Raw genomic sequence first — 20,230 nt, forward strand, 5'->3', positions numbered from 1 at the left:
GTCATTTTTTTCCCCTGCGGTCGTTATTTAACTCCCAGTGTAGTTGAGAATCAGCTGACCATATCTACTTCATATAAAACTTTTGTACATTTGAAAATTATTCTTAAGTGTTTGATTGGCCTCCATTTTTCCAGAAAAAAATTATATCTAGTTTTTAAAACATTTTATCTTATCTATGGATTTTTTCTGCTGTCCTCTGACATTTTTACCTATAACCTTTTTCAGCACATAGTTATTGCAAATCACGTTCAATATAATGTGTTTGCTGCATGATAGTTTATATCCCAATATCATGTCCATTCTGAACAGTTTCAGGATACTCGGGAGCAAATACATGTATTCTACTGTTGTTTGACTGGATTGATTTCTTTACACATTTTTCAGATAATTTATTGCTAAAGTCCTTTTTCTTAGCCACTCACACAATAACAATTGTTTACTTTTTGTCAGCTTTTGGTAGAAGATTTAGAAATATTACCTTAAGACTCCAGCTTCTTTGGGCTTGGTTATTAAGCTCGTAATTGATATTTTATGTTGTTGGGATGACTGTACTTTCTAAATGTTTTGTTGATGACAAGTCATAATTCACAATTATTCTGTAAACATAAATATGCAAAGATATTTTCTCAAATACTGTAAAATCATTTCTTCATACCCTGCAAACAAATTTTCTCTGGCAACAAAAGGATTACACAAAAGTGCCTGTCCTCTGCCATAGTTCATCCTTTACTAAATGTCACTTTCATTAAGGATATACTTGGTTATGTTTCAGCTGAATGTAGAGTGAGTGAGGTGTGTCTGCACAAGGATATCTGAGTTTTGTAGCCATGTGTCTTTATGACTTTGATATAATACCAAAATGAACTTTTATGATTCTGAATTACAATTTAATGATTAAGTGGATGAGATTAAGAAAAATGATGAAGATACATATATTAAGAGTATTCGGGAAAATCAATAAAAGGGAATTGTAAGTTTGGGAATCAGAAAAGAGGAGTCAATGTAAATCAGTAGTAAATTCTGCATCTAGTTTTAAACAATTATTTTCTTGACATCTATACTTGGGTTGTTTCTAGAAAACAGAAGAAATATTTACCAAGGATTAGTCTTTGTCTCAAATAATGCTGCTCTTATGCTTATTTAGTGTTTTATTTTTTCCTATCATTTCTTACTAATATTTTGCACATTAGTGCAGTTACTCAGTTATCTAGTTTAACAGGTATGTGTTGAATGTCTAGCCATGAAGCAAAATACTGGGTTTTGCAGAGCATGGCTCCTCCATTCCTGATTCCTAATGGTATGGCAAGTATGTGTTACGTGTAAATTCTCAAATAAGACAGATTGTTCTATTTCCTAAGTTATTTATCAAAAACAAGTGCTATAAAATTGTGAAAACAGTTTTAATTTTGACATGAATTGGGAAAGATTTCTTAGAAATATGGGATACTACAGTTATGTCGCATAAAGAATTCGATTTAGGGCAATTGTGGAATTTCAGGCATGGAGAACGTATACAAAAATAAGGATAATGGGAAGTACAGAATCTGTTTCAGGGACCAGAAGAAATGGCCATCAGAGGCAGGGGACCAGACAGATAACTCTTTTCGCAGTCTCTCAAAAGGGAATATTATTGGGAATGATAGTAAGAGGAGTTAAAAAAAAAAAAAAGACAAAATAAGCCAGAGTCTGAGGGAGAGATTACGAAGAAGAGACAGATTCAAGAAAATATTATTTTCGTAAGAATCACATTCCCATTATTTTTTCTTATTTTAATATGTTAAAAATATGAAAGGACTGACATATGCTATATGTATTTTATACACATCAATATTATATACATCAACATACACAATAAAATATTAGAAAAGAAAAACTAGAAAAAGTATGAATTTCATCATGTAACTAAATGTGCTTTAAACTACTTTATGAATAACTTTCAAATATTCAAGTATTTGGCATTTTGTTGCAAAAGTGAATGTTTACATTATTCATAAAATATGTGGCATAATAAATAACTTTTTAAAGGCTAACACTATGCTCAACTTTCAGACAAAATATCTGACACTAAAACTTTATAAAACTAATATATATCGTTTTTTGCATGATAAACCACATTTACTTAAGTTGCTACCATTCAGCCAATTCCAGCCATGCTTCTTTAAGATTATGCCATCTTTTATATTAGATGGAAATTGGGAAAGTATTTTGTATTCAAAATGTACCTAAAATCTAATTTGTAATAATTCTGTTAAGTATTTTATTTGTGACGTTTTCTGGCACAATATTATGCAAGCATCTTTTAAAAGCCTTGTTTATTTAGTACCTTTGAAATGCCTTCTTCACTAACATTAATCACGTATTTTTCTTAATACTCTAGATTTCATATTCTTTCTAGCTGTGATAGTTTAACTCTGACAAGGAACAATTCTACAATAAATGACAAGAATACTATTTGTTGCCTGATATTAAAAACACAAATGATGTTGTCTTCGTGTAGTTATTCTACAGCCTGTTACTCACAAGTTCTGAACTGAATTTAGAACTGAAAAATATTTAGATTTTTTACAAACAAATAGTGTTTTCTGAGCTTCTTTTTTTTTTGAGACGGAGTCTCGCTTTGTCCTCAGCTCACTGCAACCTCCACCTGCCGGGTTCAAGTAATTCTCCTGCCTCATCCTCCTGAGTAGCTAGGATTATAGGAGTGTACCACCAAGCCTGGCTAATTTTTGTATTTTTAGTGGAGACGGGGTTTCACCATGTTGTTCAGGCTGGTCTCGAACTCCTGATCTCGTGACCCCCCGCCTCTGCCTCCCAAAGTGCTGGGATTACAGGTGTGAGCCACTGCACAGGCCCTTCTTAAAACAACATTAAATTAGTTTTACTCATTCAATGCTGTTATTAGTTTGGGGCATTTTAGTCTTCCATTGGATTCAGAAATAAACAAAATAAAGATTTTTAGCACTTTTAAACCATTGCTTTGCTAATACCTTTATACTTTAACGATGATTATAATATATTCACTAATAATTTTATTCTTAAAATAAAATTATTATTCATTAGATCTTCATTGTTTAAAAGTTACCTCGAGTGTCTCACTAAATTTAACTTATTTCATTTTTCCTCTGTCAGATAATTTTATTTTAAATAAAAACCAAAAAATTAAACTATAGGACTAAAATACTCTTAGAAGGCTCTGGAGATAGATCATGGTGCTTAAGCCAAGAAGAGTAAGAAATTTATATAAAATATGACTGAACTAAATGAGATTAATTATAAGGTGTTGCAGGTTAGCAATTTTCCCAGAGACTCCTGTTGGTTATTTTTAAATAAAAATCTCAACCGAGAAATTTTTAAACATACAGAGGATATTGCCAGATATACATATACTCAAGACCCAAAGTCAGCAGTTATTATTATTTTGTTTGATGTATTTACATATGACTTGTTTTAAAGAATAAAACATTGAAGTCCTCTAATCCCTTTCTTAACCCCCTGTCCCTCCCTCTATTCCCAGAGGTAATCATTAAAGAGACATAACTCTTATTCATATTTTAATACTCAGACCTCTATTTTATTTATCTTTGCTGCTATACAATATGTAAAAAGCACAGTTTATAAATCCATCCCCCTATTCACAGGCTGACGTTTGTTTGAAGTTTTTGTCTATTATACACTACTGAAATTAGAATTAGAAATTAGAAACAGTGTTGCAAATGACCTCTTTCTACATGTGTCCTTGTGTTCATATGTGAGTGTTGGTCGTTCTGTGTATCCAGGTAGAGAAATTGTGGGGTTGGGAGGTACATGCATCCGCATTTCCCAACTCAATTTATCATTCTTCCACACACCTAATGCCTACTTCTTTTTTCTTAGTGTTCACATTCTGTTATCCCTCCTCACTCTCATCTGATTACTCTGCTTTTATTTCACTAAAATATTAGAAGCAATAAACAAATCAATGTTCTTACGCCTCCAACCCTGTGCATCTCACCTATCAATTCCTGTATACTCTGCTTCCCTTGCTATTTGTCACAGTGAATGAAGGTCTGTACTATGATATAGGCCAATGCCTCCACTCTGTACCGGACTCCATCCTCTTGTCTACTCTAGGATGTTGGTCACGTTGAGCTGTTTCTTGTCTTTTGAAACATCCATTTTTCCTTCTCTACTCAATTATTCTTCCCTCTGTAGAATGTTAAAATATTTTGATCCTGGTAAAAATTCCCTTGACTTACTCCACCCAGACTATTTTTATATCTTTACACTCTTAGAGCAAAAGCCTGATTTCTCTCTTCTCTTTTTCTTTTAAAATCCCCCAATTAAGCTTTCATTCTTATCATTTACTCAAACTTTTCTTGTCAACTCAAAAATTAATTCCATGTTGCAAAATCCAGTCTGCATGGTAGCTGACTTGCTTTCTTAAGCACACTTTGTAATGATCATTTTACGTTTGAAACACTTTCTTCATTTTGTTTCCTAGAAGCTTTTTTTTTTTTTTTTTTTTTTTAACTTTAACCAGCTCATTGGCCATTTCTTTTTCATCTCTTTGAGGAACTTAATTACTTTTCTCAACCTCTAAATACTGGAACTCCCAGGACCTATTCTTCAGGTTTTTTTTTTTCTTTTTTTGTCTTCTTCATCTATTCTTGCTCTCTGTGGGAGCCTGGGACTTCTAGCCCTACTTTCTCTCCAGACTTCTAGATTTCAAAATCCGGTTATGCTTGTTCTCTCTGCCTGGAATGTTCTTCCTCAGTCATCAACATGGCTTGCTTCTTCATTTGATTCCTTTCTCTGCTCCATGTCAATTTATTAAAGAAATCTTTCCTGATTATCTTACCTAACATATGAGAGCCTATTCTCCAGCACACTCTATCCCCTAACCCTGCTTTATTTATTTTCAAAGCAATAATGGGTATTTGATATTATTGTTGTTTCTTTGTTTACTAACTGCCTCTTTTGTCTAGAATATAAACTGCATGAAAGCTTTATTTGGTTTGTTCTCTGCATCATTTTCAGACCCTATCAAAGTGCCTTACACAGCAGGCACTCAATAATTGTTTGTTAAATGCACAAATAAACTAATCTTAACATTTATTTTAGCATAACATTTTCTTCCCCAAAGCATTTGTACCTATGTACACACTCCCACCAGAGAGTTTGAGAACATCCTGTTTTCTCACATCCTCATCTGTGCTTATTATTGCTAAATTCTCAAAATTTTGTCTGGTCAGTGGCTAGGAAATGCTTTCTTATTGTTTTAATTTATACTTATTTGTTTGTTAATGAGATTAAATGTTTTTCATGTATTTATTGCCGTTTGGGTTGCTTACTTTTTGAATTTTCTATTTATATCCATTGCCCATTTTCCAATGGGGTCTTTGTTTTTTAATCTGTTTTCCTATTCATTTTAATAATTAATTAATGAGAGTTGCTTTTTGTTTGCATTCTGGATACTAATCTTTCATTGCTAATAGTACTGCAGCTTGTCTGTGAATTTATGATGTCTTTTATCATATAGATTTTAAAGTTCAGATGTAGTCTGTACATTTTCTCCTTTATACTTCATACTTTTTGTTTTGTTTTGCTTAAGTATCCTCCTTTATCCCAAATTCATAAAGATGTGCTTTTTTTCATTTTCTCCTAATATTTTTAAAGTTTTGCATTGTATATTGAGTTCTGTAATCATCCATTTGGGTATTTTTTGGTGATATTTCTTCGTTGATGTTGTGCTGTCCAATGTAATTTAATTTTAGTTTAGGTAACAAATCATTCTAGTGTGATTTACTGAATTCCCTGCTCTTATTCTGCTGGTATCACATACCATCTCTGTCAGCTATCACAGATATCAGTATTGGTATATCTGCAGTCCCTTGATCTGGTCCCTAGTTTATATGTTTATTTCTGCTCCAACATTACTGTCATAGGGCTAACCACTACAACTTTATAGTTTTGTTATTGAAAGAGATGATTCACCATCTTTTTCTATTTCAAAATTGCTGTTGTTTACTCTTTGCTAATCCATGTGAATTTTCAGATCAAGACAATTTCTGTGAAAAAGAAATTATTTTGAGAAGTTTGCAGGTTAATTTTAGGATATTTGACATTTTTGCAGTAACTTTTTCTAGCTTTCTAAAGAATATAGTTCTTCATTTTTACATCCTTGTGTGTTTGGTTAAGTTCTATAATTTTCTCCATGAAAACTCTGTACAATTTTGAAATTTTTCTTGTTTTGTTTTATAATATTTGTTTGTACTTTTCCTTTTGAGAATAAGACTCAATAAATTAATTCCTTAAATTCAATTTTAGTAACACATATTCTTTTTATTTTATTCATTAATCTCATGTCAGAGATTAACTTAATGAATAAATAATCTCTTTGCTATACTCTTTTATTGATTTTATATATTGCTTCTATATATTCTTTTAGATTTCTGTGAGAACTTTCACATCATCTTTGAATTATGATAATTTACTGCTTTATTTTTTAAATTTCATTCGTTCATTTTATTATACTTTTGAATAGAAATATTAGTAGAGTGAATTCTTATTTTCAACTTTAAGAAGAATGCATCTCATGTTTCACTATTGAGTGTATTTTTTAAAGATTGCCTTTATTGTTAATGGTCCCCTTCTTTTCCTAGTTTATTAAGATATCTTATTATTTTGAATAAGAATGAATGAATGCTAAGTAATATTAAATGGTTTTCCTACATTTGAGATGATTAAACAATTTGTCTCCACTATTAATGCAATTAATTATAATATGTTTGCTATTAAACAATTATTAAATTTCTGGAATGAATTCTACTTAAATATTTTCTCTCTCTTCATAGAATCTATATTATATATAGATTATATTATTTATTGTATTATCACATATAATATATATTAACTTGTCTTTATATTAGTCTATATTATATATGTGGTATTTATCCCATCAATTATGTATATATTTGCATACATGATCATATGAAGGATATTGGACTATATTTTACATTGTCCAGTTTGCATATCAGTTACACAGCATCATAGAAATTGTTGAAAAGCTTGTACTCATTTTCAATTCCTTTATAGTACTTTATCTAAAACAAGGGTAATATGTGACAGTGTTTCCTTAAAAGTTTATTTGCCTGTAAAACTGTCCTGGATTGGTATATGTGTTTGTTGTTGTTTGTTTTTGGTGTATTTCTTATTTTTAAACCATTACTTCTTCTTTAGTGACATTATGATTTTAGAGAAAATTCTTTTTTTTTTTGTTTGAGATGGAGTTTTGCTCTTGTCACCCAGGCTGGAACGCAGTGGCGTGATCTCAGCTCACTGCAAGCTCGGTCTCCCAGGTTCAAGCTATTCTCCTGCCTCAGCCTCCAGAGTAGCTGGAACTACAGGTGTGCACCACCACACCCAGCTAATTTTTGTATTTTTAGTAGAGATGGGGTTTCACCATGTTGGCCAAGATGTTCTCGATTTCCTGACCTTGTGATCTGCCCACCCTGGACTCCCAAAGTGCTGGGATTACAGGCGTGAGCCACCATGCCCAGCTGAAAATTATTTCTTCTAATCTGAGTTTTCATATTTATTAGTATATGTTTCTAGAATATTCTTATTTTAGTTTTAAAAACTTTTTTCTGTAGCTATGTGCCCATTTTTAGTATTTGCATTATTTTATTCTCCTTTTCTTCTTTTTTACCTCTATTACTTTCTTTCTCGGAGCTTTGCTATTTTATTAGTTTTTTCATGGACTCTTTATGTTTTATTTTTCATCTTCTCAACCATTTCTTTGTTTTCTATTTGTTTTTTTTTTTTTTTGCTTTTATGTTTTATCCTTCTATGTACATTCATTTAATGGGACAGTATTGTTATGCTTCAAATTTCTTGAGTTGAATGCTTTCATGCAAATGCTATTTCCTACACTGTTGAAAGTTTTTGTTTTTTTGTCTCTGATATCTGTGATCCTCTTTGAATACTTTTTGGTCTCATATTATCTTGAATATAGACTACCCTGTTTGAATGCCATTACCTGAGAATACTGAAAAAACATACGGCCTCAGTGAAAGATATATGCTGAATTTCATGGCAGAGGAGATTGATGAGTACCTGGGTATAGGCTGCAATCTCATAGTCTGGATTGCTGATTTGAAACTAGGAAGGAGTTGGTGGATACTTCTTTTAGCCAGGATCATGTTTCATTTGCAATGGAAAAGTTATATCATCAACAACTAACAGATATGCCAACGGTTAGTTTAAATAATCTAGTTAAAGGAGATTAATGTAGTTAAATGACCTACATGTAGTTGTGAGAAGGAGACAAAGTCATGTGAAACAATTAGCTAGTGATTTAAAATAATTTGACAAATTGCTTAGTTCAGACTTAAATAATTTATGACTGTGGAGGAGAGAAAAACATTGAGAACTAACATAGTTGTGGAAAGTTTCTTATCTTTGTTTTCTTGTTGCTGGTATCTATGGTCCTCCTTGAATACCTTTTTGGTCTCCTATTATCTTGAGTATAGACCACCCAGTTTGAATGCCATTGCCTGAGAATGCTCAAAGAATGTACGGTCCCAGTGAAAGATATATGCTGAATTTCTTGACAGGGGAGATTGACTACTGTGTACTCAATTTTGGGGGGCAGGGAGCTAGCATAAAAAGATGATATTGATGATGATGAAGATAACAATACCTACATACATTTTTGAAGTTTATTATATACCAAACACTGTACCAAGTACTTTATATGAATAATTTAAATTAATTCTAAGAAAAATTTTGATGGAAATATTATTATCATTATCATTATTATTAATGGTGGCAGTATAGCTGTGTGGACTATACTATGGTATGGGCTTTTCCTGTGCTTTTAATAATGTATAGAGCTCAGAATATAGGATCACAAAGGATTAACATTGCAACTGATATAAATAAGCATGATTAAAACATAAGTGTGTAAGGAATGCTCATGGGATAATGGGAAGAAGAGCTTAACCAGTGTAGAAGCTGATTATCTGGTCACATGGAAAAAAGCATTGGTAAGTAGTGGTGAATCTCATTATGTATGGCCTTTATTACTACCACAGGACTTTTTTTTAAAGTAGAGATTTGGGGGGCAGGGGACTAACATAAAAATGATGATAGTGATGATGAAGATGATATCAATACCTATATACTTTTTAAACCTTATTATATGCTAAACACTGAGTATCTAGTGCTTTATAATAATTTAAATGAATTCTCAGAAAAATTTTGAAATAGGTGTTCTTATTATTAAAGGTAGTAATATAGTTGTCATCATCATTTTTATTGTTATGTTCTAATTGTAGATACTTAGATCATCTCACATGCCTAAGTACATGACAGAACCAGGACTCTTAGCAGACATTATGCTTCTAAAATAATTATTAAAATTAGTCTGATGTGGCCCATAGGATGGATTCCTGAGGGTGAGAACCCATCTGGGGTTGTCTCTAGGAGACAGTGAAATAATTCAGCTATGCAGAGGTAGAGGCTTGGCCTCAGGAAGTAATAAATCATAGAGGACTCCAAGGCTCCAAGCATGGGTAACTGAAGCAATGGGGCATTAATTCTGCTTTCTTGTATGGAATTAATTTTCTTTCCCCTTTCATTCTCTTTTTTCCCTTGTTCTATCCTCTCTTTCTGCCTTTCTTTTTTGTAATCAACTTGTGAGTAAGGGATATTCAGGATTAGGTATTTCTTTTTCTGTTCTTCAGATGCTAAATATAGCTATCATATTATTATGGAAAAAAAAAACAGCGAAGAAAACATGTTTTTCAAAAAACCATGGAGGATTTAAGGTATGCTTTTATTCCATACCAAAAGACATGCTTCAGGAACAAATCTTGTTAGAACATTGTTTTATTTCCACATATGTCCAGAATTAGTGCAGAAACATCATTTACAAATTTACATTTTAAAAGTACTTTGATTTTGAATCAATAGACTAATCCTTTCAGTAACTCAAAAAGTAAAAAGAAATTCTTACTTCATAATTCTTTTGCTAATCAAAGAACTCAACAACTGAGTGAATGGAAGCAAGTAACTTGGACAAAGCACCTAATCCCTTCACCTCAGTCTCTCCTGTATGTCAACGGAAAGTAATGATACATTATTTCTTAACTTCTCTTGTGCTGGAGGAGAGCAAACCATTAAGCTAAGACATTTGTAGTGTAGACTATATACTAGCCAAAGATTTCCTGAAAGGACTAAGAAGGAAAAGATTATTTTGTTTTGATGGATGTGCTACTTGTTAACTAGAGTATTCTCATTACCAACTTATTTTAGGGACCTATCATTAATTTACACTTGTGTGGACTTCTGCACTAAAAATGGAGCTACTAGGTTAGTCCAGATTTTCTAAGAAGGAGAAAACATTATATGCAAAAGATTTATTTGTTAAAGGAGCCAGAGAAGGTAGGGGGACCTGCCTTCAGACCACATTACAATTGACAGCCTTTGCAAGGAGAGAGGAAAGGAAGAGGCGTCAGGTTGATAGTTTCAGACTTTAGCTCAATTGCAAAAACACATTCATCCACACCAGTGACAAGTCGTCTAGTTAGAGTTATCCATTGGTGGAGTCTCCTGTCTCACTAGAACAGGTCTGCAGTTGTTACACTGTCCTGCTCAGTGATTGGCTAGGAGTAAACTGAGGAAAGAGTGACCTTTGTGATGGTAAATGCAGAGGGGCAGCAGTGGGAAATCTGAGCAGTGCATTTTCACAGCTGCCACATCCACATACAGTAATAAAAATATCACTATTTTCAATTTTGCTAGCCTTTTGTTCTTACTGAACCTGCCATAAAGAAGCTTTATGTCTCCTAGACCATAAACATGTCCTATTCTGCAAGTTCATATCTGTCTTCTATTTTATCCCTAATCCTGGGAATATGGGTCAGGCATTTCAACTATGTCCCATTGAATTAGGTTTTCCTTCTTCCTCTTCTGTGAGCATCTCACTGATTCCAAACTCTCAGTAACTCTAAGAATTTCCTTTATTTTTCTAAGTTCTTGCTATACCCCATGTTTCTAGAGACAGTCATGTAAATATTTTGAATTGGGATCACAAGAGGTCATCTAAATTCGTTTAAATTATTGATTTTGGAGGTGGGTATAAGTGGGTTTCTAATTCTGGCTCCATTGTTTACTACCCATGTCAATTTCTACAAGGTGTGTAAACTTTATGCCTCAATTTTCTGACCTGATAAATAAAGATAGTAATATTTTCCTTTTGATATTATGGCCTTAGCATGTAGTACAAATAGTTAATGAATGACAGATACATTATTGATGACTTCAGCTAGGACTTATGGTGTGGTTTGGCCCTGTTTCCCCACCCAAATCTCATATCGAATTGTCATCCCCACTTGTCAAGGGAGGGGACCTGTAATCCCCACATGTCAAGGAAGGGAACTGATTGGATTATGGGGGCGGTTTCCCCCATACTGTTACTCATGATAGTAATCGAATTCACATGAGATCTGATGGTTTCATAAGTGGTAGTTTTTCCTGCGTGCTCACACTCACAAGAAGGTGCTTGCTTTCCCTTTGCCTTCCACCATGATGGTAAGTTTCCTGAGGCTTCCCCAGCCATGTGGAACTGTGAGTCAACTAAACCTCTTTCCTTTATGAATCTCCAAGTCTTGGGTAGTTCTTTATAGCAGTGTGAGAACGGACTAGTACAACTTACAACTTTTCTACACCTTTCCACGTCTTAAACTCCTAATTACGTTTTCAATGGGTTACTTCAAACCTACTTCCAGTCTTTCCAACTCATGTTATCTTCAGACCACATCTCCTATATTATTGGAAAGTGATGGTCCATCACTTGTTCAATATTTTTTGAGAGCCTGCTATGTGCCAGGAACAGTTTTTGGCAATGAGCGTATAATGGTGACAGACCAATTCCCCACCTTGATGGAGATTACAATCTATTTTGTGCAATGTACTTTCTTAACCTCTGTGCTTTACACTTCAACATCTCTTATGTATCTTTTCTTATTTCTTATTTCCCTTTTCTGCCTCAGTCCTGTCTCAGAGTAGATTGTTGTTATTCTTTCCCAAGATTAATCTAAATTCTTATTAGCTTTCCTGGAATCTTGCTTCAATAATGATTTCTTGATTGACTGTGTCTTCAGTTTCTATCTCCACTGGGTCATCTTTTGCTTTGCAGAAAAAAATTTCTCCCATTTCTACCAAAGAAAATCACAAACAAACCTTTCATGTGAATTTGCTTCTAGCTTTCTCTTTTCTTCCTTCTGTTTTCACTTGGCTTTCACACCCACAAGTCTATTTAAATATCTCTCTCTTAAATATGGCCTACTATGGCCTTCTCTTAGCTATTATTTTCCTTGAAATCTGAAGCACTAATTCTTAAAACATGTCTTCTATGACACTGCTTATACCCAGTTTGCCTTCTGTTTTTTATCACAATATGTCATTTTTTTCTCTTAATGTCATTTCTTCGTTGATTTCAATGGATATTTGTTGAGCGCCTGTTACAAGCACTGAAGTGCAAGTCATAAAACAGAATAAACAAATAGAAAACAATTATACGATTCTGTTTTCTATTTTTCTTACTAAAGCCTTAGAACTTTTCTCTTGGCAGACTCTCCCACTCTAATTCCCAATTTATCTATTCAATCGTAACTTTCCACTCAATTTTATTCCTGTGGTTGAACTTGCCCTCTGTTCCTTGGGTTCTATACCTGTTCCTCAAACAGCACATTTACAAACAGATGTTATTATATTCACCTCACCAGCACTTTCTTCTAAATTCTGTATATCTGCTAATGTCATCATCCACTCTAGCTTTAAAATACAAACTTATCTTTCCATTTCTTAAACCTATCTCTGATTTTTATCATTGTTATCATTTGTTTCTGGTTACTTTACTTCTTCCTTGGAGTATCACAGTTAAGTCCCGACTTTTTTGAAAACCAATTTTCCAAATTCCTTATCCCTGGTATTCAAAGTCCTCTAAAAACTGTCTCAATCTTATTTTCCATCTAATCTTCCATTTTCTGGTTTTATTTACTGTCTTTCCATATAAACTTCCCTACTTGTGATTTCCACTTTCACGCCTATTTGACCACATAAAGTCTATTCCTGTCATAACATGCAAATGCCTTTTGTTTATCTTAACTCATGGAACCCTTATCCATCCTCCAAGGTTCAACACAAATAACACTTCTTTAGACCCTCGTTATCCTTTGTCCCTCCAGATATAACCTCTCCCTCTTCTGAAAACAGTAGAATACTTTCTCTTGTCATTCATTTTATTTTGCTTTGCATCTCATCTCACTTATGAGATTTTGAAATCCTCAAAGACAGAGACTTGTGTCATTTAGGATACCAAACATACCACCTTATTCAATAAGCATGCACTAAAGAAAGAAATTAGTTGAGAAGATCTCCCTCTCCAAAAGTGAGGATTTATCACTGAAGTATACCAGTGAGGCAATAGACTGTATATCCTGGCTGAATAGCTCCTCTACAAGAACACAAAGTAATTGCTATGCATGCAGAATTTTCTCTTTCTCTGTTATCCATGTCTTACATTAAGGGAGCACCTCCTCTGAGCCAGACATAGGAAGAGGGTGGTACCAAGTCATGAGGACACAGTTTTTTCTCTGGGCATGTTTAATACCTCTGAGACTGATGTGCATGCAAATGGCTACAATGTAAAATAAAAGAAAATTTAGGTGGGAACTTACATTAAAAAGATATTCCAGATATAAAAATTGCTAAATGATGAATGGGTTTATAAGCATACTTTTGTGGAATATTCTCTATGAAACTTTAGAAAAATCAAGTAGATATCCTAATATATCCTTGAATGTTAGTTTAGCAAACAGTGATGAGTTTTCTAGAGCAAGTCTCAAAAATTATTAAATCTTGCAGAAATAGTATGTCTACTTTTCATAAAGCTACTCGGGCTTCCTAAATGTCCAGTTTGTTTGACTGGGGCTGGAGTTTTGAATCACAAGGTAATGTAAGTTACAATATTGTAAACAAAGTTTGCTTGATAAACAAATGTTTTAAAGGCATGATGAAAAAGGATTCTGAGTTTTCTTAAAAAAAGTTTATAATGAGCTCTGCCTGTGTTAGGGGTTGTGATCTTTGTTATAATCCATACATAGTATGTGCTTAGTATATGTTGGCTAAACCATGACAGTTGGAGAGCCCATCTGTCTATGAAGTTCTATAAAATAAGGATTTTTGAATTTTAGCTTTGGAAAGAAAAGGCTAGTTAAACATAGAAGAGTGCATGCCACTCCAGAGACTATTAAAATGTTCAGATGGGTAACATAGTCATATTTTCTAAAACTTAATTGAGTTATACAATATAATATAATCAGGAGCTAAGTGATATTCTATAACTTTTGAATACTGATTGTACTTCTAGTTTTTCCTTCCTGTTACCACTCTCTCCAGCTTAATTCAGACAGGAAAATTGGTACATTCTTTATGATCAGAAAGCATTCTTGTGTCATTAGACCATGCTAGATTAATAGTTTTTATAAACTGACAAGAGACCAAGTCATCATTACCTGGGGGGAAACACCTAAATCATCTGAAGATGGCTATTCAGTGCTGAAGGAAAGTTTGAGTTGACTGCTTTAGATACTAAGTCTCAATTCCCAGTTGGCAATGGTCAGGTTTGCTGAAAAATGGACAGTTTCCACCCTCGGGATGGGTCGATTATACTGGGAAATATATAGGAGGAGAGCTTGTCAAGGCAATTCAAGGAACAGAGCTGATATGTTCTAAAGGGAATTCTAATCTAGTCCTCAGATTGAATCATAAATGCTTATGTTTCATGGTCATATACAAATGTGCAGAAGATAAAGAGGAAGAAGCTAAAGAAAGAGCAATGAATGGAAGGTGTGAGAAGAAAAAAAATCAGAAAAGGCATAAAACTATTATATTTCAGCCTATCATTTGTTGAGATGAGAATAAAATACTGACTTGGGAGCAATTTTGGTGGTGGTTGAAATTTTTTGATACACATCTTTAATGGTGATTCATAGTCTGAGTATTGCACTACATTCAAGTCCCAGAATTCTAACAAATCATTCTAGTAACAAACTGTGGAAATTCATTGTTGTGTTGCTGGACTGGACAGCAGTCCAGTCCCTGGCTGAATGATTCTATATGTGATTCTTACGATTTTCTTGTAAAAAGAGACATCTTGCAAGAAATGAATTATTGCAGTTGTACATTTGTACTGAGTATGAAATGGGATGTGTAGTCATAAAGCAATTTGTAACCCCGAATCCAGGCTACCATTTGTATTTAAACATTCATTGCTTACAATCCACTGCTCCATACCAATTCAATTTGGTCAAGTGTCTTCTTGAAGGCTTATTTATATTTTACATGAAGATTTGTTATCATCCATACTTAATTGTAATTCCTTGGAATGTTTCATATTGATTACGTACCTACCTTTTGCATTCATGTTGTTCTGCCATATTATAATAATGGTTCTCAAGATGAGAGAGACTCTTTCAAATTAGTATTTTCTTCTATTTCTCAAGTTATTTATATTGATCTCATATGTTTTACTTGCATATGGATGTATGCAGCTAAATACAACCTCAAAAAGAAATAGGAAATGAAAATGATTAGACAATTTGAAATAATACTGGTAGCTAACACTCCTATATGGCTTACTATTTTTCAGACCTAGTTCAAACTGCTTTACATGTATTGAGTTATTTAAGCTTTAGAACAGCCATATTAAATATAACTACTATTAACTACACTTTACAAGGAGAAAAGTAAGGAGCAGAGAGCTGAAATATTCTTACTGAGTAAACATGGTGAGTAAGTAGCAGACTTAAGATTTGAACCCAGACAGTCTGACTTCTTGGTACTCTACTCTCTACTTCCACAACTAAACTTTTCTTGGTTAAGGAGTACATTCAGTACCTATTTTACTTCAAAGTTATATTTTAATATGATTATTTATTAACATGGGTATCCTTCCCTGAGCAAATTATGAGATTGTAAGTAAAAGAATCATGTTTTATTAAATTTGTCATATATAGTGTTCAATAAAATATTGAGTACTCCTGAATTACAGCTTATCATTGCCCTGAGATATTCTTTCTAGAGGACTTCCATTTTGTGGTTGTAGGTTTTACACAAAACTTTAAAATTCACAAGACCAAAAAAATGAAATTGTTATCACTAAGTTGGATGTTGTTTTCATGATACTGCTGTTTCTTAATTATTTTTGAAAATAGAATAGCATGAATGAAGTAGACTAGATTTGAGTAAAACAACTTTACAATCATGATACTTTGTTGAAATTCTGTTCTTTTTATTATTCTTTCCTATAGGGTGCTGCTTTAATAAGAATGCTGGCTAATTTTATGGGCCATTCAGTTTTCCAGAGGGGTTTGCAAGTAAGTAAAATGCTTTTTATTTTCTTTTACATTTTTCCTTGTCAATATATTTCACAGCTTAGGAAATGGCTAATACAAAATTGCTGAACTTGGTGGAAAACTTTAAGATGTGTAAGTTAAGCAATGTCTTTCTATATGACAAATGAAAATTCTAGATAGGATACTCACGATATCAACTGACAAAACTTGAACTGTTGAACAATTTAGAATCTGTTTGATTTGCATTTTTAAATTGAAGTAATTTTAAAATATGCCAGATTCTAAATGTTCTATAAAAGACTTCCAGAAAGACTGCCTTCTTTTTCTTCCATTTAAAGATTCAAATAAGGTGAAACAAATTTTGTTAGTGTTATTCGAATTATGTATTTGAGAAATCTTAAGGCTATTTTTCAAATATGCGCCTTTTAGGTTTTTGTTATTTTGCTGTTGATATACATAGATTATTTGTTCCAAAGGTTTTTAATTGTTTTTATTTTAATTAGAAAATATGTTTTTCTTAAAAAAGGAAGAAAAAGATACAGTTTTTATCATAATGTGTTTAGAGTATGAAGTATAGAATCTAAGAATGAATTCTTAGAAAAGGAAGATTATTAAACTTCTTAAAGCAGACACAAGTATACTGAAAAAACTTTTATTCCATTGAATCTGCTGGAGCAAATCATGTTCCTAGTAGCTGTGATTGATGAATTATTTATGATGCATTCTGCTACTTAGAAGTGTCCTTTAAAGTAAATTGATGTTCACCTGAAACACAATTATGCTAAGACAGAGAGAGCAATCAATCTTATCTGTTCTTAGTAAGCTTTTCATTTTGAAATTTAAATAAACTACATCTGGGTCCAGGTCATATTTTAGTAGTATAATTCTATCTGTACCCCCAAATAAATTGAAAGATAAAATACAAGGCAAGAGTTAACTATGTTATGACAAACTCTCTCTCTATACTTAACACAACAGAAACTATATATAAAAATAAATTTTTTGAAGAATAATTTCCCTCAGAAAATATTTTTACAGATTTGTTCCAGCAGGGTTTGAAATTTACTTTAATCAGCTCTTTCCATTAGGGACACCTTCAGAATAGCTGAATCCATTGAATCTATTTGCTGTATGTTAACAGCTCTATTCTGATCACATAGTTGGGAAAATCTTTTTTTCTCAAGGAGTATCCTTCATGAATATCAGCTATCTGGAGGAATGTCCTTCTTTATCCCCATTCCTTTGTTTTTCCCCATTGAAGTTGTAGCATGACAGTTTCAGAAAATATCTAACTGTTCATAAGGGCAACATAAATTGAATTTGATTTCTTCATAGCAAGTTGATGTGAAATCATTTTCTGTATAAAATTCTTATTGTTTTTCTTCATCTGTGTGTATGGATTTGCTCAGCAGATTGAATAACTACAGTTATATTATTTGGAAAGGATTATTATTTGGAAAGGATTATTATTATTATTATTATTATTATTATTATTATGAACGTTTTTGTTCATCCTGTCATACTTTCTATGGTGTGCAAAATATATCAATTTTTAATACATTCTTTTCCACTGACCCACTCTGCTCAGTTTTATATGAAACAGTTAGAATATAGCCTCTGACTCATATCATATTAAACTTTCATTCCAAGCTTGTATTAATGTGTGCCTTTATGCTCTGATACTTGATATGGTTAATTTTCAACTGAGGTACTCTATGTTTGTCAACACTGCATTTCATTTGCCTGGTGACATCTCATTGATCAGATAGATCTGTATCCTTCAGTACTTCGCTTGCAGCTTTATTTATACTCATCACTCAAACTGATTTAGTGTATCATCAGCAGTTTGGATTAGTTTACAGTAGATCCCTACATCTAGGTGATAAATTATCATCTCTTGTGCATGAAGATGTATGGGATACATTTTGGAGTTGACCTCCTGAATAGACACTTGATGTCATGGTGCTGAGTGGTCACAGAGTTGATATTAATGTGCTTCCCATCCAGAAGGCCCTGGGGAGTCTTGGTTTACAAGTTGTTGAAAGAGCTAATCTAGGCTGTCAGCACTTATCTCTGCTGGAAAACCTATGAATTGTTTTTACATTAACCATGGTTATTTCCATGTTGACAAATGAAAGTTTACTACTTGCAATTCCAAATTGCAGATAGTGTGTTTTTCATATATGTTTTTATTCTCCCCCCTTTTTTTCTCCTTTTTTCTCTTTTTCTCTCTTGCTCTCTTTTCTTCCTTTCTTCTTTTTTTCTGGACTCAGACCTTAAACTTCATGTTCCACATAGGAACAATGTCTTAATGCTCTTTCTTCTTGATTTATTATCTACCTGAAATTTGTGTTCTCTTGCAATTTATGTATCCTTACGACCCACCTTAAGGTCTTTTGGAAACAAGGTAAACTTTTTAAAAATACATACATGTATATGTGTGTGTGTATATGTATATGTAATATAGAAAGGTAGTAGGTTTCTGGGTTAGTTCACATACTCATATTTAACTTATAAAGCATCGGTGTAGATTCAACTACATTTTCAATTTTTTGTAATGTTTTGTATGGGAATATATTTTAAATTTCAATTTAAACATATATTTTTCAGCAGGAAGAGACTCTAGAGGCTTTCTGAGAAAAATTTTGTTTCTATAGTCATATTACCCATTGGTTCAGCTATGAGAAAGTTTAGGAGAACAATTTCTTACTGAACAATCACAGCTTTTGTTGGTGATTTGTTGGTGATACCACCAGCAAATTAGCTTCCATTTTAATGTTTTAATTGAAAGTGGAACTGGACTGAATTGAGCTTGAACATTTCTGTGGTTAGATTATGTGTCACTAATAAATATTTTTTAAATGCAAAAATGTTTACATTTTTGCAAATTCTACATGTCTACTGTTCTATGTAATCCATTTCCCAAAATGATAGCAGGCATATTTTGAGAAACATGAGGCAATAGAATAAATAAGGAGAAATAATTCTCATTTCTATCTCCAGTTAATAGCGGTTTTCTGCAAGTCACTAGACCTCTCTTGACCTCTGACATTACAGTTATGAAATGTTTAAGAGTTGAACTAAATACTGTAAGATTCCTTTTATCTTTTATATTCTCTAAATCTAGGATTACTTTAATGCAGTTTACTAGTTAGACAATTTGGGTTTGATATATTTAATTTGGGACAGCTGTTTTAATTTGATGGACACATTTGTAAACTAGATATGCAAGAGTGAGTGACTCCCTTTTTTTGAATCTTTAATCATTTGAATATTTAGACTGTATTATATGACTATCAATACATATAGAACTATAACTGTAGTCAAACCAGATCAGCATTTTTGTAACAGGGAGTTTTTGCTGGTAATAGTTTTATTTTGCTAGTATAAGGAAACAACTTCTATTTCCTTGGCTTTTATTTACTTGTTCACTTTCATAATTGGCTCTGGATACTTTATAATTTTATGATTAAGCTACAGTGGTTTTAGATGTTATATGCTAAGAACTGTTGAAATTTCTTGGTGATTTTCAGTGTAAATTCCATCTTCTAATGTTGGAATTTCTACTTGAACTCTTGAAATCTGGTGAAACCAATTCTATTTATTGGTTTTGCATTTAGGTATATTGGAGTTGGTTTTGAGAAGAGCCAACATCCTCCTTGATGAGTGACGTTACAGGGAACTCAAACAAGGGGAATTTACTTTTTCAGAGACAAGAAAAGCTACCACGGTGGCTCAGTGAAATTTAGACCTTCAAGTCCTGCATTCCGATTCTTCATCCTACACTTTCCTTGTCAATACCCTAACTCTCACATAAAAGATCTAAT

The 20,230-nt window shown here is 32.8% G+C and overlaps 1 protein-coding gene across 5 annotated transcripts in view; it reads left to right on the top strand.

The window, feature by feature from the left end:
- TRHDE (thyrotropin releasing hormone degrading enzyme) overlaps positions 1-20,230 on the top strand; it is a 583,493-nt gene that overhangs the window by 438,667 nt on the left and 124,596 nt on the right. For all 5 annotated transcript variants that reach the window (XM_017019244.2, NM_013381.3, XM_017019243.3 and 2 more), the window contains one exon: positions 16,359-16,424. In XM_017019244.2, coding sequence (XP_016874733.1) covers positions 16,359-16,424 — 66 coding nt within the window. The remainder of the gene's footprint in view (positions 1-16,358; positions 16,425-20,230) is intronic.

Source organism: Homo sapiens, chromosome 12, assembly GCF_000001405.40.
Source record: "Homo sapiens chromosome 12, GRCh38.p14 Primary Assembly".
NCBI lineage: Eukaryota > Metazoa > Chordata > Mammalia > Primates > Hominidae > Homo > Homo sapiens.